At 47.9% G+C, this 23388-nt stretch overlaps 2 protein-coding genes across 5 annotated transcripts, besides 3 other annotated features; one reads left to right on the plus strand and one right to left on the minus strand.

Moving 5' to 3' along the window:
- Positions 1-8: 8 nt before the first annotated feature.
- Positions 9-15117, minus strand: GNL1 (G protein nucleolar 1 (putative)). The gene is made up of 12 exons (NM_005275.5): positions 14759-15117; positions 14183-14348; positions 13683-13819; positions 13392-13543; positions 13203-13274; positions 11978-12185; positions 11712-11807; positions 11095-11289; positions 5980-6158; positions 5740-5902; positions 5324-5464; positions 9-4941 (listed from the first exon to the last, which is right to left on the minus strand). Exons 1-12 carry the CDS (start codon positions 14829-14831, stop codon positions 4700-4702), a joined length of 1824 nt encoding a protein of 607 aa, NP_005266.2. The 5' UTR covers positions 14832-15117; the 3' UTR covers positions 9-4699.
- Positions 14395-14960: an enhancer, noted in NCBI's record as "NANOG-H3K27ac-H3K4me1 hESC enhancer chr6:30523544-30524109 (GRCh37/hg19 assembly coordinates)". NCBI's record gives its function as "activates a minimal SCP1, AML or CMV promoter by ChIP-STARR-seq in primed H9 embryonic stem cells {active_cell/tissue: H9 hESC(primed)}" and the evidence as "EXISTENCE:reporter gene assay evidence [ECO:0000049][PMID:30033119]".
- Positions 14961-15525: an enhancer, noted in NCBI's record as "NANOG-H3K27ac-H3K4me1 hESC enhancer chr6:30524110-30524674 (GRCh37/hg19 assembly coordinates)". NCBI's record gives its function as "activates a minimal SCP1, AML or CMV promoter by ChIP-STARR-seq in primed H9 embryonic stem cells {active_cell/tissue: H9 hESC(primed)}" and the evidence as "EXISTENCE:reporter gene assay evidence [ECO:0000049][PMID:30033119]".
- Positions 15337-22351, plus strand: PRR3 (proline rich 3). Of its 4 annotated transcripts, NM_025263.4 has the most exons (4): positions 15923-16078; positions 16778-16840; positions 20462-20752; positions 21017-22351. In NM_025263.4, exons 1-4 carry the CDS (start codon positions 15973-15975, stop codon positions 21121-21123), a joined length of 567 nt encoding a protein of 188 aa, NP_079539.2. In that variant the 5' UTR covers positions 15923-15972; the 3' UTR covers positions 21124-22351. The 4 variants fall into 4 exon arrangements, with proteins under 4 accessions (NP_001070965.1, XP_047275337.1, XP_047275338.1 ...); NM_001077497.3 differs by lacking the exon at positions 16778-16840 and having other exon boundaries at positions 15337-16078; XM_047419381.1 differs by lacking the exons at positions 20462-20752; positions 21017-22351 and adding an exon at positions 19956-20393 and having other exon boundaries at positions 15337-16078.
- Positions 15526-16090: an enhancer, noted in NCBI's record as "H3K27ac hESC enhancer chr6:30524675-30525239 (GRCh37/hg19 assembly coordinates)". NCBI's record gives its function as "activates a minimal SCP1, AML or CMV promoter by ChIP-STARR-seq in primed H9 embryonic stem cells {active_cell/tissue: H9 hESC(primed)}" and the evidence as "EXISTENCE:reporter gene assay evidence [ECO:0000049][PMID:30033119]".
- Positions 22352-23388: the final 1037 nt, after the last annotated feature.

A 23388-nucleotide genomic window follows, 5' to 3' on the forward strand; every position in this document is an offset into this window, starting at 1 on the left:
AAACTTTGTTGTCTCTTCATTCAAGTTTGGCTTTAATATTTTATTAAAAATTTTTGTATTTGTAAATATTAAAACACTGAAACTTGCTACTGACACAAGAACGACAATGCACTAACAATAAAATCAAAGTAGAAGCTAAACTATTCAGAAGCAGTAGCAACTCCATGATTCCAAGGTAATTTAAACAGGCAATTTCAGAGTGCTTCAAGATGAAGGCGCAAAGCAGCCTCTCAGCCTGCAGTGATGCTACGACACCGGCAGATGGCGCTGCAAAGCTTCTCAAATGCAGCGGGAAGTCCATTTACCAACGGCTGTTGCGATCTCTTAATTAGCTTGAACTGAGTTTGTATTAGAATTTATAATTTTTACTGCATATTGCAGTTACTCGTATATTACTGACACTGGAACAGACATGTTTTAACAAACTGGTTGAGCCGTATCAGTGCGAACCAGCTGAATGTCAGCGCTGTTCCCTCCTGTGACAGAAGCCACCGGCGCCTGCCTGAGGGCACTCCCCTCACTGGGACTCTCAGTACCACGCCCACCTGTCCCCAAGGTTTGTTTCATCACTAAGCCCCACCTTCCAGCATTTTCACCTTTCTCCTTCACTTGATCCTTCTTCCTAACATCGTGTTAACACACTCCAAACTAAAAAAGTTCCTCAACTGCATATACTCTGCTCCCTCCATTTTTTTCTTTCATTGCAATCACTGCCAAACATTTTGAAAATTCTCTCCTCACCTCCACTGCCTTTACGCTTTTCCTCCAAATTATTCCTTAACCCTCTGACATCTGGGGCTTCTGATTCCACCTCTCCAAAGAAATGCTCCCACCAAGACCATGGAGGCCCCTCTCGTTGCTGGTGGATACTCGTTCATTTTCCCCGCCACCACCCATCAGCAGCGTTCCACGCCGCCCTTCCTTCCTTCCTTCCTCCCCTAGCTTCATCACACCACGTTACTAGGTTTTTCCTGTCTCACTGGCTCCTTTCCCTGCTCTCCTTTTTATATGTTTCCTGCTTTCTTCCTCAGCCTTCTCTGCTCCCCACACCTATATGTTGATGATGCCCAAATCTCTGTCTCCAGCCACGACCTCTCTTTCCCCAAGCTCCATTTGCATAAACTGTCTCTGATGAGATTTAGGGCGCTTACGGTGGTATGGCTGTAGACAACTGTCTCAGGAAACAGACCCATGACCCACCCAGTTGCCAAGTCAGAAACAGGATGTATACTCTTGACTTGTCTCTCTCCCCTACACAGCAAAACAATCCCAAGACATGTCAATTCTATCTCCTGAGCAACCCATAAAACGATTTCTCTTCTTTCCATCTTCCATTACCCTAATTCTGGTGTTCATTCTCTCTCCCTGGGATGGCTGTAAAAGCCTCTGATTTCTCCCCTTTCCAAACCAGTCTCCACACTGCAACCATAGTGATCTAAGGCACAATTCTCACCTTTTCAGTCTTAGGCTTAAAGTTCAACATCCCTCTGGATACAGTCTAAATCTTTAACACGGCTGAAAAGGCCCAGCAAGAGCTGGACCAAGCCCACCTCTCCAGCTTCACCTTTCCTCATTTCTCCTTTGCACCCTCTGCCTCTGAACAAGTTACAGTCTTCCAAAGTTGTCATGTTTCTTGACCTTTGCTGTCTCCTCTGCCCAGAATGCAATTTCCCTGTCTGGCTAACTCCTGTCCAGCATTTGGCCTCAGCATGGACATCTGTTCCTCTAGGACGCTTCCCCTGATTCACCAAGACCAGCTTAACTGCCCCTACTGGCTGTTCCTATAGCAATTCTTTACCACAGACTACTGATTTTTTGTGTTTGTTTTGTTTTGGCAGTCTGACATAACTTTATACTAATGCAGCTTCTAGCCCTGTCCCCCACTCCTTCCTGATCAGTATCCCAATGTCCCTCCTATATGGAGCCACCACTACCCCACAGGATCCTGTACCACCCTTCTCCCAGAACTTATCACACTTTTTTTTTGTAATTGTGTTTCCATTCTCCAATAAATTGTGAGCGCCACAAAGAACCATTTCTATCTCACTTACCACTTGGAAGTGACTGGCAGGTAGTAATTGCTCAACAAATGTTCTATGAGTGAATGAATCCTTGGGATAATTATAGTACTAACCATCTTATTTAGTTATGACAGTTCAATAGAAACACGTAAAATAATGCTTTTATAGTTTACATACTGCTATAGAGCTATTGTATTATATTATTATTATTCTATTCCTACCCTCTATTGCTTGAGAGTAGGATATTGCCTTATTCAATTTTGGTTATTGTCCCAGAACTCAGGGATATATGTCTGGCATATATTGTTTTTAACCAATTTTTGTTGACTGTATCAATGATTGTAAGAAGTGAACAAAGGGCCAGATAATTGAACTATCCTGGACCACACACAGCTACCCTGTTCCAGAAGCAGGACTATAATCCCATCTGGAAAAAGGGAAACTTGGAAGTTGACATCTAAATGAAATTCCAGCATGGATGAGAGAAGCCCTGATTTCTCTCCATCAAGAGACTAGCCAGCTATGGAAGCCACCAGAGCCCCAGACCTCCATGGTCAAGTATTCACATAGTAGACATGACCCAGACAAGAGGGTGCGTATTTCAGCGTGGAGGGGAGACTGGGCCCTTGGTTTCCTGTGTCTTTGTAGTCAGTTCTAACCTCAGCCTCAGGCACTGGTGTTGGGGCCCTATTCATCCTCATCTGCACGTCCCTCAGTTCTTTTCCTGTTGCTATTATCCTATAGAGTCAGCAAGTCATGGAAGAGGTTTTACAGTCTAACCCTGTGGGGGTGTCAGGAGTTGCCTCCTGCCAGGTCTTCAGCATAAAAATCCCCCCTCCTCAGCTCCCAGTCAATTCTTCATCCCCACCCCTAGACTCTCCCAAATACCCCTGATGAAACCCCTGAGGTGGAAAAAGATAAAGACAAGCAAAGATAAACAGCACAGGAAGCAGAGGTACAAATAGAATTCTGATTTTTCTCCTTTCTCTCCATATTTTGAGGAAATGAATCCAATGTCCTCACCCCACCTCCTGCAGCGGAGAAGTCCCCTGAGCATCTCTGAACATCATGAACCCTCAAAGTAAGCTTAGCTTGGGCCCCTTTTCCTTTTCTATCAGTGAGGCCAAAGAGCCCCAGATGGGAGACAGGTGGATTTTTCTCTCAGCTGGGACCTTTTCTCTTTCTTGTCTAGCACATTTTGGGAAACCTTCAAGTACATTCTCATGCTGGTATTATTTAAACTTTGCACTGGAGTGAATTCCAGGAGTTATGTCCACACTGAGACCAATGGAGATGAACCTAAAGCAATATGTGGCCAAACACCTTAGCCTCTTTAAATATACTTTCCTTTGCTCCTTGGTTAACAGGGTCTGTCTGCTCGCATTAGAGAAACTGCCCAGTGACTCAGATCCTGAAAGGATCTGCTTTAGAGAAAAAAGGAGTCTGGTACTTCTCACTCCATCTAGTGGGCAACCTGTCCAACTACACTTTTTGCTATCATCCAATACAGACAACACTGGCAGTCAATAAAAAAGCTCATTCTCCCATTTCTAAAAGAATTCAATCTAGGAGTCTAGCTGCTGGCTTAACAAAGGGATATACAGCAAAGCCTAAGGTGCCCTGACTCACGAGAGAGCTGATTTCTGCCGAAATGCTGAGGTGAAACCCTAAAATGGTTCTGGCCACCTGCTAGGTTCTAGCTCAGACCCTGCACTGGATCATCTTTGTTCCACCCCCAAACCAGAGTAAATGGAATTCAGGAGGCTGGTTCTGTGCCCGCCCCTATGTACCTCAAATACTCGTAGCTGCCAAGCTTTTAAACAATGAAACTTAACACTGTACTTAAAGGGCTGTTCTGCTCAAATCATAAATGTGCACGCTAGTTGTTCACCAGTAATTAAAACTACTCGTACACATTTAATCAACATTTTCACAAGCGTTTTGCCTTAACTAAAAATTTGTATCAACATGAAGTCCTAGAATTATACTGCATGAGCCCCCAGGATTTGGAGAACATCATTCACCCTTCTTAATCCAAAAACTTGGGTGCCTGAAGGTGGGGTTTTGATCATGGCCAGGCTTCAAATTTAGGTCAGGCTCTGGTGGTACATCCTTATATGCTTGGTGCTCAGCACAGGTCAAGACACACAATAGACCCTCAATAAATATTTGCTGAATTTGAACAATTCCTGTAAAAATCTCATTAAGAGACATCAGCTTGGGACACAGTTCCTCTCTTACTGTTCCTTCTCCCAGAAGCTCCTGGAATGAGCAGGTCTGGCGGCAGGGGGCACACAGGGCTGCTGCTCAAATCGGAGAATGGCACAAACTCCAAAAGGGAGCTGGATTTAGACCTCCCCTCCCCATGTAGATAACGGGATTCCTAAGGTGCAGAGTGGGAGAATGGGTAGAGGAAGCAGGTTTCAGAGACTGAGAACCTACTAAACTCCTAAGAGAACTTTCCCTTGCAAAGAGAATGCATGAAAAAAGAAGGGAGAAGAGGAGAGAAGCCTCCCACAGCTGTTAGCCTGGAACAGCCGCTCTCACCTCAGTTCATCTGGGGAAGGGGCTACAAAGCAAACAATCTTTATTCACAATTGGGGTGGCAGAGGGGAGATACCCCCAGGTCAGTCCAAAAGCAAAGATACTGGGAGGGAAGATGGCGCTGGGCGAGGAACTCAGCACTCATCCTCACCCAGCAGGGCATAAGGGTTTCGGCCAGCCAGGCTGGACCCTGGAGCCGAGGTTGGGGTCTCCTCATCCCCTTCTCCCTCCTCATCCGCATCCCGGTCCTCCTCTCCCTCCTCCTCACAGGAGCTGCTCAGCTCTTCCTCTTCCTCCTCCTCCTCGTCACCTGCTGGCCCCACCCTGCCCTGCAAAACCACCAGCTCCGTGGTCTCTGGATGGGACTCCCAGGTGCCTGGGGAACCAAAACAAGAAAAAAATGGAGGAGAGTTTTGAGCAAGAACTAAAGCCAAGGAAAGATGGGGAAGAGGCAAAGACTAGGAATAACAATAATCTTTAGAGCTGCTGGCATTCATTCATTCATCCATTCATTCAACTTCCTATGTGCAGATTGCTGAACAGAACCTTTGTGCACATCAACTTCAATCTTTACAATCACTATGCTAAGGGTCAATTATTACCCTCAGTTTGCAGATCAGGAAAATATCACAGATGTTAAGTAACAGAGCTAGCCAACAGGTACAGAATCCAGGTTTGACCCTCTCTCTGGCCACAAAGCCCACACCCTTTTACCTACGCTATAGCAGGGGGCTGGGGAAGAATATCTGGGCTCTGACCTTTCTGTTCACTGTAGCCTGGGGGATGAAAACACAGGCTGAGGCGGCCGTCCACTGCCAGCCGCAAGAGACTGTTGGCTGCTCTGTACACATCATTCCGAGCCGCCTTGGCTGTCTTGTAACCACGTTTCTCTGCCCAGGCTGGAGGAAGAAAAGAATAATGGAAAGGGAAAGCATTAACCAGGTACCAGTTATACTCCCACTCCCATAACACAGTCCTTCCAGTTTTCCCCAAAACATTCCAGGCCAGAGATCTTACTGGCTATGCAACAAAAATCTAGGGGTGAGTGGACAGCAGCTTCATCAATGGCAGAATCTCTGAGGAGAGGAAAGGAGACAGGGAAGGGTAAAAGGCGAGGCAGGTAAGGAAGAGCAGCTGAAACCAGGTGGGGCGAAGCCAGGCACATGGAACTCACCTTCACAGATGTCCCAGGCACACCAGGGGTGTTCCGCTGAGGGGTCCTCAGCCTCTGGGTGGCGCAGGTGGAGCAGGGCCTGCACGGGAATTCGGGAGGCCAGGTAGCCCACAGCAGTGTAGGGCTCCTGGATCTGGGCGATAGGGTAGATCCCTGCCAGAACCTGAGGGAAATGAGCACTCAGTACTTTCCTCAATGTCCCACCTTCTCTCTTTCCCTTACCCACCCTCCCCGTCATACCTGCAACTGCCTAGGCAGAAGAGATGGGAAGATGAGGCCTGGGCAGTCACAGAGCTTCACAGAGGGGGTAAGAAAGTAGGTCTGAAAGTATCGGGTATGGCCCGGGGTTCTGGAGACACTCACGACTTTCCGCCCCACCAGCCCATTGATCAGCGAGGACTTTCCCACATTAGGGAAACCTGAGGAAGGCAAGGAAAATTAACGTTTAACAGGTTTCTACTCTGTGATGGGACTTGGTGCTATACCTATAGGTAAAAGGGGAACTAAGGCTCAGAAATTAAGGAAATGGTATTGCAGAATACAAATCACGCTCTGGGCTGCCAGGGTTAAATCCTGGCCCTTCCACTTACCAGCTTTGTGATGTCAGGGCAACTAACTTTCTGAGCCTCTGTTTCTTCATTTTACAGTGTGGACACCTCCCTACCTCAGGGTGGTCAGGATTAAATGAGATAACCAATACAACTTGTGTGGGTCAGTGCCTGCAGTACAGTAAGTACCCAGTACCAGTGATCCACATCTCATAATTACTATGACTTGGCCTGGCACAGTGGCTCACGCTTGTAATCCCAGCGTGATTACTTTGGGAGGCCAAGGCGGGTGGATCACCTGAGGTCAGGACTTCAAGACCAGCCTGGCCAACATGGTGAAACCCCATCTCTACTAAAAATACAAAAATTAGCTGGGCGTGGTGGTGGGCGCCTGTAATTGCAGCTACTTGGGAGGCTGAGGCAGGAGAACCACTTGAACCCAGGAGGCGGAGGTTGCAGTGAGCTGAGATTGCACCATTGCACTCCAGCCTGGGCAATAAGAGGGAAACTCCATCTCAAAAAATAATAATAATAATTACGATGACTTGTCCAAGGAGAAAACTGGAAGCCTTGGGGCTCACTGCCACTCTGCTCACTCACCACCACCAGTTTTTGTGTTTCTGGCTGACTTCAGTGCCTTCATCTCCCTTCCACAGAGCATCTCCTTTACCCCACCTCAGCTGCCCACTCCCATGGTAATACCTGCATCTTGTCACTTCACAGCTCCAAAGCCTCAATTCCAAGCACCCCTCTCTGCCCTGACAACTCATCTTTCCAGCTCACTTACTCTGGTTACTCCATGCCAGTAAGTCTTTGACCCCTGACCTTAACACAGTAACACTATGCAATACCCAACTCGTGTCCTCAATTTCCTTCTTACTTGACTCAGATTTCATGATCCAGCTCCTCAGCCAGGCCCGTTCACAGACCTGGAACTCCCTGGTCCCACTTCTCCCCTCTATCTTACTCACCTGGCAAAATCCCAACCCTGTAAAATCCAGCTCTGCCCATTCAGCACTGCTCCTGGGCAGCTGACTGTGGCTAAGAAAAGATGTACCACTGTGCTCACTCTTTACAACACATGCAAGTATCTAGGAGGAAGGGAGGGAAGGAGGGAGAAAAAAGTTCTCCTTTGACGACCACCACCAGACCTAGTTCTCTGTCCGCTTTGCAGGAAAACTCCTTAAAAGACTTACCTACTTTTTTCACCATTTCTTCCTGCTATCTTCTTTGTAACTGTAAACTACAACATACAAAAAAATGCACAGAACATACATGTGCAGCCTGATGAACCCCATACCACCCAATGTGTGACAACATGTTCCATCTGTCCTTGTTTTTTTTGTTTTTGTTTTTGAGACAGAGTCTCACTCCCTCACCCGGGCTGGAGTGCAGTGGTGCGATGTTGGCTCACTACAACCTCATCCTCCCAGGTTCAAGCGATTCTCGTGCCTCAACCTCCTGAGTAGCTGAGACCACAGGCGTGCGGCTCCACACCTGGCTAACTTTTTGTATTTTTAGTAGAGATAGGGTTTTGCCATGTTGGCCAGGCTGGTCTCAAACTCCTGACCTCAAGTAATGCGCCTGCCTCAGCCTCCCAAAGTGCTAGGATTACAGGGATGAGCCACCATACCGGCCGCCACTCATCCTTCTTGATCATAATCCTCTCCCTCTATACATGCAAGCTTTATCCTTTTAAGGAAATCAACTCCTTACATTTCTCTTTAGTTTATGACCTGTGTATCTCTCAACAATGCAGCTTAATTTTGCAGCTTTCAAACTTGATAGAACTGAAATTGTGCAGTATGGATGCTATTGGGTCAGACTCTTTTCACACAATGTTATGTGAAGTTGTTGCACCTTCTCTCATGGGCCTACTCCAGTTTGGCTTTCTCCACCCCACTGAAACCACGGATCTTCACATTGCCAAGCCTGCTGAGCAGCTCTCTGTTCTCTCATTTGGCCTGTCAGCAACAGTTGACACAGCTGATTCCTCCTTTCCTCTTCAAACACCTTCTTCATTTGACTTCTGGGACGCTCCCTTGGTTTTCCTCCTTCTCACTGTCCTTTGCCCAACTAAATGCTGGCTTGTCCTAAGGCTCAGTCCTTGACCTCCTCTTCTCCAACTATTTCCTTTCTCTCCTACATCTCATCCAATTCCATGGCTTTTTTTTTTTTTTTTTTGACGAAGTCTTGCTCTGTCACCCAGGCTGGAGTGCAGTGGTATGATCTTGGCTCACCGTAACCTCTGCCTCCAGGATTCAAGCAATTCTCCTGCCTCACCCTCCTGAGTATCTGGGACTACAGGCACGCACCACCACACACGGCTAATTTTCTGTATTTTTTGGTAGAGACAGGGTTTCACCATGTTGGCCAGGCTGGTCTCAAACTCCTGGCCTCAAGTGATCCACCTGCCTCAGCCTCCCAAAGGGCTGGGATTATAGGCATGAGCCACTGTGCCCAGCCTAATCCTGTGGCTTTAAATACCACTTATATCCATCAATGGTTCCCCAAATTTAAATCTTTCCCAAATTCAAATTTCCGTCCTCTTCTCTCCCCTAAGCTGCTGACTACTTACCCACTGCCTATTCAACATCTCCACTAGGGATATTTAAAAAGAATCTGAAATTTCATTTCTGATTCCCCTCTCCTCCCCAAAGCCTTCAAATCTGCTTCTCCCCCAGTCTTCCCATCTCAGTATTTCCAGTTGCTCAAGACAAAAACCTGGAAGTCCTTCTTTATCCTCACTTTCCTTCACGTGCCAACTGCAAGCCATCAGCGATCTCATTTTCTCTACCTTCAAAATATATCATGCTTCCGGCCCTGTCTCACCACCTCCAGCTCCAGCATCCTACTCTAAGCAACTCTTATTTCTCTCCTAGATTACTGAAATAGCCTCAACTGCTCTCTCTGCTCCCTTTCTTGCCCACCCCCCATCATTTATTCTCTACTCAGGAGGTAAACTTATAAGAAACAAAATCAGATCCTATCATTCCCCTGTTCAAAACCTACCCTTGGCTTCTCATGAGACTTGGAATAAAATCCAAAATGGCTGTCACAGCCTCAGGGCTCTACATGATGTGGGCCCTGGTGATCTTGCTGACCTCATCCCCAGTACTTTATCCTGGCTCCCATACTCCAATCCCCTGGGCACTCTTGCTGGTCCTAGAATCTCCAAGCCCGTTCCCTCCTCAAGACCCTTTCCCCACAGTTCTGAATGGCTCACTTCATCTCATCATCCAGTTCTCTCCTCAGGGAGGTTTTCCCTGAGCACCTCTCCTCTCAGTCACTCTCTATCCCCTTTCATTGCTTTATTGCCTTCACTGCCCCTACATGATTTCGGATCACAAAATCTATTTACTCACAAGAAAATAAGCTCCATGAATCTACAGACCTTTTTGCCATTTCCACAGCAGTATGTCCCATCCCTAGAATATCTGGCACCTGGTTAAGTGTTCAGTACATATTTGTTGAATGGGTAAATGAATGAGAGCTGGAGGGAAATCCAAACTCAGGGGTGCCTGTGCCACAGCAAACACTCTCCCTCTCACACCACCTGGAATAGAGATCAGCTAGAGCAGAGGCTGCTAAGAGAGGGAACAGAGGCTCCTTGTGACAGGGAGACTAGGATCAGAAGTCAGGGAAGGGACAGCCGGGTGAAATGACTGGAAAGAGGAGCAATCACTCAGCAGTAAGGCAGGTTCTTCCAAAGACAAAAAGGACACAGAGATAAGTCAGGGCACTTCCAAGGAACCCAACTACCTACTCCACACTCCCAAATTTATTCTGGGTTGGGCCCTTTTTGGTTCCAATATCACCTCAGATACCATAACTTGTCCAAGGTCTCTTCTTACCTCTCCCACCCTAAATGAAGACGGGCCCTGGGTCCTAATCATACATTCCTTTTTCCTCCACTGTGAGCTGAGACAAAGCCCTTAAGAGGAGATTCTCCTTGGCAACAAACTTAAAGGGTTAAAACCTAGAAGAATACTAATTCTTGCTGAGCTCCTACTATGATTTGATAATCACTGTACTACAGACTAATTACTACAATTCAAATGGTTTATATAAACCACTTAAAACAGTGCCTGTTACATAGTAAGCACCATATAAATACTGAGTTTTAACAATAATAATTGTTATTATTGTTATCACTATTTGTCAGGCATTCTTACACTCTCTTAACACTATTCCCATCATTCCTCACATCCATTCTTTTTTTTTAAAGACAGGGTCTCTATCAGCCAGGCTGGAGTGCAGTGGCACAATCATAGCTCACTGCAGCCTTGAACTCTTGGGCTCAAGTGATCCTCCTGCCTCAGCCTCTGAAGTAGCAGAGACTACAGGCACATACCACCACACTTGGCTAGTTTTCTTTATCTTTTGTAAAGATGGGGTTTCACTATGTTGCCCAGACTAGTCTTGAGCTCCTGGTCTCAAGCAATCCTCCCACCTCAGCCTCCCAAAGCGCTGGGACTATATAGGCATGAGCCCTCACACATGGCCGTCATCCATTCTTTTACTCAGGTATCAATGTCCTTATTTTTAAAATCAAAGTAACTAAGACTCAGAGTAGCAAAATCACTTACTCAAGACCTCACAGCTGAGAAGAGGTGGAATTTAACTCAGGCTGTCATGATCCTTCCACTGCAGCAGACGCCTCTTCTGCCTTGCCCACCGCCACTGGCAGAGATCACCCCTCAGACACCCTGGGGCCTAATGAGACCTGATCGCCCTCTCTCTTCTCCGAATATGAAAACTCTGTACCTCCTTGGAGGCCACCACGCACAAGCTGCCACTTCCTTACCCACACAGCCGATGGTCACCACCCCATCCTTGTAGCGCTCTTGGGTTGGGCCAGTTGGCTCCATTGCTGAATCAGTCTGCTGCTCCACCAGGACTGCTGGGCCATCCTCCTCTTCCTCCTCCTCCCCAGAGCCATTACCCCAGGTGGCCCCAGCCACATCCCGAGCAATCTTCTCCCGCCAGCTGCTCAAGTCCACTGCTCAAAGAAGGAGAAGATTAAAGAGGTTCTCCCCAGGGCTGCTGTGCATGATGGCACATACTGTGCCCTGCACAGATTATGTAACTGGCACCCTCTGGAGTTGTACAGTGCCAACCTAAATAAGAGCAGGTCAGAGAATCTCCCAAAAGTCATTTGACCCTACCCTCCCTGGAATCACGCACGTTTCTCTGAGCTTCTGAAAAGTACTGGGAAGGCTAAAGGCAGCAAGCCACTGAGGCTCCTGACTACCTGCTGCCTCTCGTCCCACCAAGTCAGTCTGCTCCTTATTCTGTCCCTTCCCCTGGCCTCTTGCACATATCCACCATAGAGGGGTTGGCTTCAGGAAAGGTGAGCAAAATGATTCTGCATCTTTGGTCTCCCCCATGTCCTCCTACAGCCCTCCTCTAAGGGCCACATACCTTTCCCCACAGTGATGGCTTCACAGGCTCTCAGCAACTGCTCTGGCCCCAGGGCCCGAGTCCATCCTCTCCCCCGCCTCCGACTCTTCTTCAAGACTGAGATCAGAGGGCACAAAAGGATGGGCACACGGGCTTAGGCCTCTCATCTCTCCCACCACCCTTAGGCCCAAGACCAGGTGCCCCCTTGTCAATAAGCCTCTCTGTTCTCCCCTTTGTCCCCTGCCAACTCACCTCTCCCAAGTTGCCCTCTCTCATTGCCCACTCACCACTACTAGGGTCCTGTGGGGTGCGGGGGTCCCGAGGAAAAGAGGTGAAAAGGACGACGTGGAGCTGGGGATAGTGTTGATGGAAATAATGCTTCCAGGCAACCACAAGAGCTGGCGGGGCCAGATCCACCTTGTTCAAAACCAGCACCAGGGCCAGTCCAAGTTCTCCAGTCACATACTCATAAAGTGCTGGCGGGAAATTCACAACCTAGGACAGAGTTGATAAGAGGATGGAGCAGTGAAAGTCAACCCAGAGTTCTCTGCCTCCAGCTCCCCACTCAGCAGGTGTAGCTCAGAGACAAGGCCCTGGTGGTAGCAGACTCTGGGCTAAAAACTATAAACCAGACAAACTGAAAAACAAAGACAAAACAGGGGTTAGTAATACTTCTGAGTCTCAGAGGGCTTCCTATAGGTCATGATTAGAGATGGAAATGAACCCAAAACAAGACAAGGAAACAGCATCACTTAGCACACTGAGGTAAAGGCTGGGATCGGAAACAGGGATGGGGGTTAGGGTAGAAATTAGTCTGCTTTTTTGTGTGTGCACAACTATGTAAGTGTGTACACGTGCATATATGCATGCATGCAAGTACGTGCACATGTGTGCATGTTTGTGTGTTAATGTGACTGTGAACATGTGTGCAAACATGCCTGTGTATATTGATGTGCACATGATGTACGTGTGAGTATGTGTGTGTACATATTATTAAGGACCTCCAACCTAAATGGTCCTCACAGACCTCCCTTTCTCCCACTGGAGGACAAGAGTGAAGTTGCAGAGCTAGGATTCACACAGGGCAGTCCAGCAGCAGTCTACAGCCTTAACTACTACTCTAGCATTCCAGGTGGGTTCTGTAGCAACTGATGTGGCAGTGCTAGAGAAATGAGATAAGGAAGAAAGGGCATCTTTGGGCTGGGCAGGAGGAAGTCCCCAGCTGCATTCATAGAATCCCTGGAGCTCCAACACTTGGATTTTCTATTGGTCTGTGATGAGCTAAAGGACAGGACATGGCTGTTTTGAAGAGAAGAGTGAGCTGGCCAAGGGAGGAATGACAGGCTATAAGAGAATAAAAAACTGAGTTCCTAACTGCGGACATCAGCACTAGGTAGAGATTAGAAAGACAGGAAGATAGATACCTCTCTGTCTCCCAACTCTTGCCTCTGACCTTTGCCCCTGAAAAACCTTTCTCCCTCCTCCTTGCCCACCCTTATCCCTAGTACTCACTGGATGTCGGATATCAGTGATAAGCAGGACGATGTCAGACATCTCTAACACCCGCCACAGCTGCCTCCATGTCTAAAAAGACAGGATCAGGAAGAGAAACTGAAAACAGAGTCCCTCTCCAGCCTGATCCCAAACCAATTTGACCATAGGTCACTATGCCCCACTCCTGTCCCTAGAGTACACTGTCACCTCCAGATTGTGCTCAAAGTAGCTGAGTTTCTCAGAGGAGTAAGCCCCATGAATCTTCCCAAGATAGTCTTGGAAGCTCCGTTCCTCTTGGCTCATTAGTTGCTCCTTGGACATCTCATAGCTCCAAGGAGGACGTCGAGGAAAGTCCAGAACTGGGAATTCAGGAAAAAGTCCAAGTGTGAGGAAATCTTCAGGATTCAAGAGTACATCCCAGACCCCTCCTTCCTCACAGTCGGCTTTTACCTTTCCAAACTCCTTCCCCAGCCCAATGCCTGTCTTGCTCTCACTCACCTGAGCCAGGCTGATACACCTCCCGGATGTCCAGCTCCAACAACTCAGCACTGACCGGCTGTAGAACTTGCTCCCGGGCTGCTCTCTTTCTCCTCTCTACCTCCTCCCTGCTGTCTCTCTCAAAATGCAGTCGGTATCTAAGGGAACAGGGACCGAGACATCCAGAGCAATCCTGTGGCCACAAACTCCTATTTTCTCCCCTCTTGTACAATCAACTTCGCAAACCATTCTCTCCAGAGTCGTTCAAGTCTCCTCTCTCAAGTCAGACTTCCCCCAAGTCCTTCTTTCAGGCAATACTCAGCCTTCTCCTTCTAAAAGCCCAACTCTCTCCAGCCCCTCTGGAAAGGAAGACTGTGGCCCGCTGTGGGGAGCCGAGTGGCTAGCGGAGAACTGTGGCATCCCAGGCCCACCGTCTTCACCAGTAGCAGCCCGCTTTCCCCCAAAGCTCTGACTTCCGGGTAGGCGGGAAAGCCGGGACCAGCGCCCCCTCCCACCCTCACCGATTTGGGTCGTAGCCTCGTGGACCCAGCCCCTGAGAAGGCTGCTGGTTAAGCCTGCGGATATGATGGGTCACAGACTCCCCGTCCGAGGTGTCGGTCTGTTCCTCTCGCCGCTCCCGGCTCCCGCTGCGGCTGTTGGAACTGGAGCGCAGCCCATCTTGAAGCCCTGCGGGGAGGGGCCGGTGACGCCAGTGCTGGCCAGCTCTCAGGGGCCATAAGACCCTCTCCCCCATCGGCCTGACTCCCTTTCATCCCACTCAACTTCTTCCGATGTTCAGTCCTCCCAGACACCCTATTTGGGACCCTCCCGGATGTGCGTGGGGGGAGTCACTCCTTCAGGGAGCAGTGGGGACGGCGCCCCGTGCTAGCTGGAGGGATTCCCCTCCCCCAACTCTCCATCCTTCCCCACCCCTTCCAGATGTAGGGGGGGTGGGGGATCCCCTCCGCGATAGGCCGCGAGGGTTGACGCGGTCCCACGACCCCCTCCCACGATCCCCAGAGGTGCAGCGGGCACACCCCTCCTTCCAGATGTGCGGAAGCCCGAGCCCCGCCCCCTCCTCCCGCTCCCGCACTGACCTCTCTTCCGCTCCCGTTTGTCCTGCAACTGCTTCTTCTTCTGCTTCACGCTGAATGGCTTCTTCCTCGGCATGGCCCGGACCAGTCACCTGGCCCGCCCTCCGCCGAGCTCCCGCCGCCTCAACTGACTGCCCCCCGGGGCAGCCCCCGCCGCAGGGGCCCGGGACCCTAGAGGAGGCGGGGCTAGCAGGTGACGTCAGCGGGCGGGCCCGACAGAATTACCGCCGCGGCGGCGATGGAAGGCGGACGGGGGAGATATAGTCACTTCCCTCCAGGAGCGAGGCGAGAGGATGATGCGGGGTGGGCTACTGGCACGTGAGAGCCAGTGGCACCGAGAGGGCGCCCCGGCGGCGAGGAAGGAGGCGCGCGTGGGAGGACCAGGCTAACTCCGTCACGGACGCTACCAACTCGCGTTCGGAGGAGGGGGGGCGCGTGTCATCACTACCTTGCGCTCCCGGGAGAACCTACCACTCACCTGGAGGGGGCGGCGGAGCGGAGGGCGGGGCCTACTACCTAGGGGAGAGGGGGCGTGGACACGCTGAGGCTATACTACAAAGCCCCGGGCTTGACCTTAGTGGAAAGCCGAGACTGCGTCCAGGTTGCTGGACTACACCGGGGGCACGGTCAGAGGTCTTTAGGGGAGGGCGGCGGTCTGAGAGTCCTGGGTGCCGACCTGTTGGGACCCAAATTCCTTGTGGGAACGATGATAAGGAGCAGGTTTACAGATCATAAGTGCAAAAGCGGGCGAGAAGGGAAACCCAAGCGGGACAAGGACTTTTGGGGGGAGGTCAAAGGGCACGAAGTTGTGCCTGCAGCTGTTACCATAGTAACCGAGGACCGGATGTGGCGATCTTACGGTGCGACAGTCCTCTTCTCAGGCCCTCTGGCCCGAGAGCCTGTTGACTCTGTGACACACTCTGAGGAGCTGGTTGTGGTGTTTTCCAGCGAGGGAAGAAAAGAGTAATTTTTTCAAAGCATTTATAGAAACGCAGCAAAGGGAAGGTGTGAGGTTGCCGCCATGCCTGGCAGAGACGGAGGGAGGCAGTTGGCTCCGGAATGCGGCCGCCGCAGATGTTCTCCGCAACCTTCCGGAAGTGGAATGGCGGGAGCCTCAGCATTGCTGCCCACCGACCCCCCGGAAGCGGAAACAGAATCCCCGCGTGCCCCTTCCTCACTACCCTCCAAATCCCGCTGCAGCCATTGCCGCAGACACGATGCCGAAACGAAAGAAGCAGAATCATCACCAGCCACCGACACAGCAGCAGCCCCCGCTGCCCGAGCGGGAAGAGACTGGAGATGAGGAGGATGGGAGTCCCATCGGTGAGGGGTCTGGGAGGGATGTGCACATGCCTGTCAAGCCCGTCCGGGCAAGGGGCTAGGGGCTAATAAGGTGCGAAGGAGGGGGCTGTAACGGAAGGAGGAAGGGCGCACGCGCTGGGGAGGGATGGAAGTGGGGCTCTCCCAAATGGAGCCTTGAACCAGGAGTTCTCTTACTGGAACCATCAACCTCAATACGGCCCCAGACCTTTCTGGAGAAGGCGGGGGTGGAGAGAATAAAGAGCTCTTTTGCGCAGCCGCAGAACAGTAGGGGAAAGGGGTAGTAGAGATGTTGCAGATTGCGATGACTGGGATGACAGTTTGTATCCAGACTTTGACTGAAAAGGTACAGGTGCAGCTTTCTCTAAACTAGTCCTCTGGCCAGCAGTTAAGGTGAGGGATTGGTTCATGTCTGGAGACACTTAGGTTGTTTTGGATAGCGACGGTACGGTGAAGAAAAAAAGTTGTCAGTATCTTTTCCTGCATTATCCCCTTTGATTGAATATCTACTTTTTGCAAACCCTGAAACAGCTTTGCAGAAAAAAGGGCAGATAGATGGGGTGAGAACTCCCAAGACTGCTGAAAATATACCTGACTTTACTGGTTGAATTAAGAAATAAGTAATACAAGAAAAACACCTAAGAACAGAATCATCAGTCCTTTAATCCATTCTGATGACCATATTTTCATGTCTGCTCTTAGGACCACCCAGCCTTCTGGGCCCTCCCCCCATGGCCAATGGAAAACCTGGCGACCCTAAGTCAGGTGAGGAGGAAGGGGCCCTGATCCTTGTATTAGGTCGTAGAGAAGACAGCAAGGGAGGGGATAAAACCCAGGAAGGACTTAAAAATAAAAGATCAGGGATTCCATCCCTAAATGAATGGAGAGAAGTTGTATATTTGCTGATTTAAAAACTCAATGTTGTAAAAATGTCACTTCTTCCCAAATTGATAAACAGATTTCATGCATTCCAAGTCAGAACACCCATAATGTTTTTGTGGAAATACACATTATTATAGGGAAATGCAAAATATCAAGGCGACTATCAAGACAATCTTGAAGTGGGAGGGCTTACTATGAATATCAAGATTTGTAAGCTGGGCATGGTGGCACACGCCTGTAGTCCCAGTTACTCAGGAGGCTGAGGTGCGAGGATCCTTTGAGCCCAGGAGTTTTTGAGGCCACTCTGGGCAACATAGTGAGATCCTGTCTCTAAATACAAGAAGAAAAAAAGACTTACTATAAAGCTACAATAGTTACAACGATGCAGTTTGGAAACAATGATAGACATAAGTCAATAGGACTTATGTCCCGAAGAGTCCAATAACAGGCCCATACATGTGTGGACACTTCATTTATGATGAAGATGGAACTGAAAAGTTGGTCTTTTCAATAAATGATATTGGATCAATTGGATATTCATGTGAAAAAAATGGAATTTCACCTTGCACTCATAATCATATACAAAGATCTATTTCAAATGGACTGTAGATCTAAGTATAAAAGGTAAGAGAATAATTATTCTAGAAAGTAAATGTATTTTCTAAGAGTAGCTAAGAGTTCTTAAACAGACAAGAAATGCACGTATACACACTAACCATAAAGGAAAGATTGATAAATTGAACTCCGTTAGAAAATATAAATTTGCGGCTGGGTACAGTGGCTCACGCCTGTAATCCCAGCACTTTGGGAGGCCGAGGCGGGCGAATCACGAGGTCAGCAGTTCAAGACCAGCCTGACCAACATGGTGAAACCCCTGTCTCTACTAAAAATACAAAAATTAGCCGGGCATGGTGGTGTGTGCCTGTAATCCCAGCTACTGAGGAGGCTGAGACAGGAGAATCGCTTGAACCTGGAAGGCGGAGGTTGCAGTGAGCTGAGATTGCACCACTGCACTCCAGCCTGGGGGACAGAGTGAGACTGTCTCAAAAAAAAGAAAAAACAAAATACAAACTTGCCAAATAATACCATTAAGAAATTAACAGGAAGCCATACAATAGAAGATATTTGCAATAAATATAACAAATAAAGATCCTGTATCTATAATATATAAAGAACTCTTCCAGACAAGCCATTTGAAAAATTGACAAAAACACAGGACACCTTATTAAAATGGAGATCTAAATGAACTAAAGGTCTAAATGAACAAGTACTCAATATCATTAATTGTCAAGTAAATGCAAGATAAAAATATACCACTTTGAAATTAGAACTCTTGTGTACTGCTGCTGGGATTATAAAATGGTGAAACTACTATAGAAAACAATATGAAGAGGTTCCTCTTAATTAAAAATAGAACTACCAGATGACAAAAAAATTAAAAATAGAATTACCCCAGAACTCCTGCTTCCAGGTATATATCAAAAAAAAAAAAATGGAAAGCAGGGTCTTGAGATATTTGCAGACTCATGTTCATAGCAGCAGTATTCACAATAACAAAGAGGTGGAAGCAACCCACATGTCCACTGATGGAAGGATAAATGTGGCGTGTACATACAATGGAATATTATTCAGCCTTATGAAGGAAGAAAGTGCTGTCACATACTACAACATGGATGAACTTTGAGGACTTTATGTTAAGTAAAGACATAGTGTATTATTCCACTTATCTGAGGTGTCTAAAGTCAAATTCAGGGGCTGGGCATGGTGCTTCACGCCTGTAATCCCAGCACTTTGGGAGGCCAAGGCAGGCAGATCACTTGAGGTCAGGAGTTCGAGAACAGCCTGGCCAATATGGCAAAACCCTGTCTCTACTAAAAATAGAAAAATTAGCTGGGCATGGTGGTGCACACCTGTAATCCCAGCTACTCGGGTAGCTGAGGCATGAGAATTGCTTGAACCTGGGAGGCAGAGGTTGCAGTGAGTCGAGATCACGCCACTGCACTCCAGCCTGGATGACAGAGCAAGATTGTCAAAACAAAAAATAAAAATAAAGTCAACTTCAAAGAAACAGTAGAATGATGGTTACCAGAGGCTGGGGGAAGGAAGCTGGAGGAAGGGGAGTTTTGTTTAATGGGTACAGAGTTTCAGTTTTGCAAGATAAAAAACTTTTGGAGGTCGGGCATGGTGGCTCGTGCCTGTAATCCCAGCACTTTGGGAGGCCAAGTCGGGCGGATCATGAGATCAGGAATTCAAGACCAGCCTGGCCAATATGGTAAAACTCCATCTCTACTAAAAATACAAAAATTAGCCAGGCGTGGTGGTGGGCGCCTGTAATCCCAGCTACTTGGGAGGCTGAGGCAGGAGAATCACTTGAACCCAGGAGGCAGAGGTTGCAGTGAGCCAAGATCGCGCCACTGCACTCCAGCCTGGGCGACAGAGCGAGACTCCATCTCAAAAAACAAACAAAAACTTGGAGATCTGTTTCACATCAATATGAATATATGTAACACTACTGAACTGTACACTTAAAAATAGTTAAGATGGTAATTTTTATGTGTTTTTTACCACAATAAAAACCGAACAAAACAAGGCATGATGATTCATGCCTGTAATCCCAGCACTTTAGGAGACCAAGGTGGGAGGATCACTTGAGCCCAAGAGTTCAAGACCAGCCTGGGCAGTGTGGCAAGACCCAATCTCTCATTAAATAAATAATAATAACCAAACAAAAAAATAACCACCACTTTTCACACTCACCATGGCAAAATTTAAAAACCTAACAATTCCAAGTGTTGTCAAGGCTATAGGACAACTGCTGGTGAGAGTGCAAATTGGTATAACCACTGTGAAAAAAAAGTTTGGCATTATGTATGAAACTTGAGCATAACATATACTTTATAAGCCAGTAATACCTCTACTACGTATATATTCAACAGAAATGCATACGTATGTGTAACAACATGTATAAAAATGTTTATAGTGGCATTTCTCGTTATAGCCCCAAACTGGATACCACCCACATGTCCATCATCAGTAGAATGGATAAATAAATTGTTGTGTATGCATGCAATGGGACTACACTGCAACGAAAATGAATGAACTGCTGCTACAGGCAACCTGGATGAATCTCACAAACATGATGTTGAGCGAAAGGAGCCAGACATAAAAGAATGCAGACTGTATGATTCCATTTTTGTGAAGTTCAAAAACAGGCAAAAACTAACCTATGGTGTCAGGATAGTGGTTACCTTTGGGGAGGAGGGTGGGTAATGGGAAAAGGGGCACAAGGGGAGGATCTTTTGAGGTGCTAATAAGGCTTTATCTCTTCACCTGGTGGTGGAAACTCAAGTGTGTCTACTTTGTGAGAACTGGGTTGTGCACTTAAAACTGGTGTGTCTTTATGTATGCTGTTCTTCAATAAAAAAAATTTTTTTAATCACGGTTTATCAGGATTCAGCTGCCCATTAGACACCTTTCTGTGTCTCTCTCTCTCTCTCTCTCCAGCTCTTCACAGAGGTCCTCCAGGATCAAGGGGACCACTGATTCCACCACTGCTGAGTCTCCCACCTCCTCCTTGGGGTAGAGGCCCAATTCGGAGAGGGCTTGGCCCCAGGTCTAGCCCATATGGTCGTGGTTGGTGGGGAGTCAATGCAGAACCTCCTTTTCCGGGGCCAGGCCATGGGGGTCCCACCAGGGGAAGCTTTCACAAGGAACAGAGAAACCCTCGAAGGCTCAAAAGCTGGTCTCTTATCAAGAATACCTGCCCGCCCAAGGATGACCCCCAGGTTATGGAAGGTGAGGTCCATTTTGTTATGCCCATTACTCCCAGAGTGACCTAATTTTCAGAAGATCATTCACAATCTTCTCTGGGCTTTCCTTTTTGCTTTTGAAGCAGAAGTAGACCTCAATGTTATTTCTCCCAGGAGAAAGACTACCATTCCAAAATACCTGGAAATGGTAGGGGGTAGAAAATCAGTTCTCCTTCTGTCTCTGCGTTTCATTGTATTTGTTTTCTTTGTTGCTCAAATTTTTAACTGTTCCATTTTCACTTGTTCACAGACAAATCCGACCGCCCTGTCTGCCGACATTTTGCCAAAAAGGGCCACTGTCGATATGAGGACCTCTGTGCCTTCTACCATCCAGGCGTCAATGGACCTCCTCTGTGAGACTGTGCCTTCCCATCCAGGCTGGAAGGAGCTCTCTGTGACCTAGCGGCCATTTATTTCTCTGTAGCCCTATGATGGCTACTGTGAGGCTCTTCTAACACCCTCAGTCAGTGACACACCCATCCCATCCACCACTTCCCCCGTGTGGGGTCCAGAGTGGTGTTGCATCACTGGTGCGCGGCATACGCGCTTTCTTCTGATCCAGCCTGTAGAGACTCGCCTTTGGGACCCATCTTTGCTTCCTTTCAGTTGCCTCCTGGATCTTCTTTCCCGTCATCAAATGACTGCTGAACAGGAAACCTCTTTGGTGCTGTTTCTTGTGCATCTGTCCACCTGTTCCCCAGTATTGCCCTCAATTCCTGAGAGCCCTGGAGCGGTTTCCTACCATTCCCTTCTTTTAGCTGCTTGTTTTAAGTCCTTTTTATGTGACATTCCCTACCCCCAATGTTGTCAGCTGCTTGTGAAACTCAGCCAGGTTGTCTAACCTGGGGTCAAGTTTGGGTGACTGGTGCAGAGTTACTTCCTAAAAGGCCACTCTCCCTGCCTTTGGATTTCATAGTTTCTCTGTCAGTAGCATGATCCCCACCGCTATGGTCTATCTATGATCACCGTGCTTTGTGAAACTGTGCATCCCCTTGTAGCCTTTCTCAGTGTCCGTGGCATTTTTGTGACTTCCCAGCACTAGAATAAGTTTTCCTGCCAAAATGAGTGAGGCGCTTGGTGCCCTCTGGACTTTCCCACTTCCCAACATGGGAGAATTGTGAACTTTCCATCAGACTGCCTCCCTGGCCCTCCCCATTCTTCTCCTGTTGGTTATTCTGAGTCTGACACAGACCCATGACATGTCTTATAAAGCCTCCAATGGCTTTATCCTACCTAGATCCCTTCCAGCCCATTTTAATTAGACTATGTCATTGTGAGGCCACCAGTCCATTCATTTGAATTCTGTGAATCTCCACCTTGCCTATCTTTGGGTAGAAGCTGGACAGTACTGTTGCCCTCTTCCAATCCTCTTCCCCTACATCCCTGGCACTGGTTGTTTTCTGTGAAAACAGCAGTGAACAGGTTCAGTTTTGAACTGGCCCTGAGGAAATGGGTCAGGAGTTGTATTGGCAAGAGGGAGGGGTGAGAGCTGTTGGAGAACTGAGAATGAGGTTTTTTTTTTTTTTTTCTTTTTAACTTTTTTTATATTAGTAATAAATGCAGTGGAAACCAGCATTTTATTTAATCCCTGTGTTCTAGTCATCTCTGGAGTTGCAGATGAAGCTGTTCTCACCTGGTGGAGTCAGCTTATTCTTTAGTTCATACACACTAGTGATGGGGAATGACAAAGCTTAAGGTTCTTCCAGGCTGAAAAAAACCAATGGAGGTTCCATTAGCCTGTAGGCATCAACCAGAACAAGCTGCCTTATGTTCAAGGGCAAAGTTTTGTAAGAAAAAGGAAAGGCCAGGTGTCCGTGGAGTTATTTTTAAATATTTTACTTTGCAGAGTTTGTGTTTATGGAGTGGTAATGATGAAGGAGTCTTTCAGCAGCAATTTGCAGAATGCCTGTGGGCCAGGCAATATACCAAGCACTAGAGATAACTGACAGCCAAAGCCAATGGATTTAAAATGTACAGGGAAGACAGGTTTCTCATAATCACAAATAGCATGTAAAGTTAAACCTGTCAAAAGTGCTGGGAAGAAGACAGGGAAGAAAAGAGGGTGAAAGAGAGTTGTGTAATAAAGGGAGTCAGGGTAGGAGATGCAACTGAGACAAGCTCCAAAGGATAAACAGGAGGTGGGGTGGGAGAGGGAAGTCAAGGCAAAGGTCTTCGCTAAAAGACCTAGGGGAAGAGGAGCTAAGAAACCTAGGGACAGTGGGAGATGATGCAGAAGAAAGAGGAGTTAGACCACTCAGGGCCTTGGAAAACATGAAGATTTGGCTCTTTTCTTAGAACAGAAGCCTTTGAAGAATTTTAGACAGGAGTATCATGGCTTAGGCTGGCTTTTCAAAAAAAATCAGCTTGTATGGAGAGGGCCCACCTTGGACCTGGAAGTTAATTAGAAGGCTACTGGCTACTTCAGTAGTACAAGTGAGCCATGATGGTGACATAGACTTGGGTAGTAGAGTTGGAGAAAAGTAGACATTTGAAAATTACAGGTCAAAATAAAAGTATCAGATTTCTCCAGGTAGTTCTGGCTTATGTAACTGCCATTTAAAAAGAAGTCTTAAGATAGAAGTTTATGGCTGGGCGCGGTGGCTCACGCCTGTAATCCCAGCA

Source organism: Homo sapiens, chromosome 6 (genome assembly GCF_000001405.40).
Source record: "Homo sapiens chromosome 6, GRCh38.p14 Primary Assembly".
In the NCBI taxonomy this organism is placed as follows: domain Eukaryota; kingdom Metazoa; phylum Chordata; class Mammalia; order Primates; family Hominidae; genus Homo; species Homo sapiens.

Bases quoted from the DNA above. Each gene is read 5' to 3' on its own strand.
- PRR3 (NM_025263.4), top strand. From the start codon at position 15,973: ATGCCGAAACGAAAGAAGCAGAATCATCACCAGCCACCGACACAGCAG. The intron at 16,841-20,461 runs GTGAGGAGGAAG...CTCTCTCTCCAG, and splicing joins ACCTGGCGACCCTAAGTCAG to CTCTTCACAGAGGTCCTCCA. The intron at 20,753-21,016 runs GTGAGGTCCATT...ACTTGTTCACAG, and splicing joins TGACCCCCAGGTTATGGAAG to ACAAATCCGACCGCCCTGTC.
- GNL1 (NM_005275.5), bottom strand. From the start codon at position 14,831: ATGCCGAGGAAGAAGCCATTCAGCGTGAAGCAGAAGAAGAAGCAGTTG. The intron at 13,820-14,182 runs GTGAGGGTGGGA...CTGTTCCCTTAG, and splicing joins CGAGGCTACGACCCAAATCG to ATACCGACTGCATTTTGAGA. The intron at 11,290-11,711 runs GTATGTGGCCCT...TTCTTTGAGCAG, and splicing joins AGCCATCACTGTGGGGAAAG to TGGACTTGAGCAGCTGGCGG.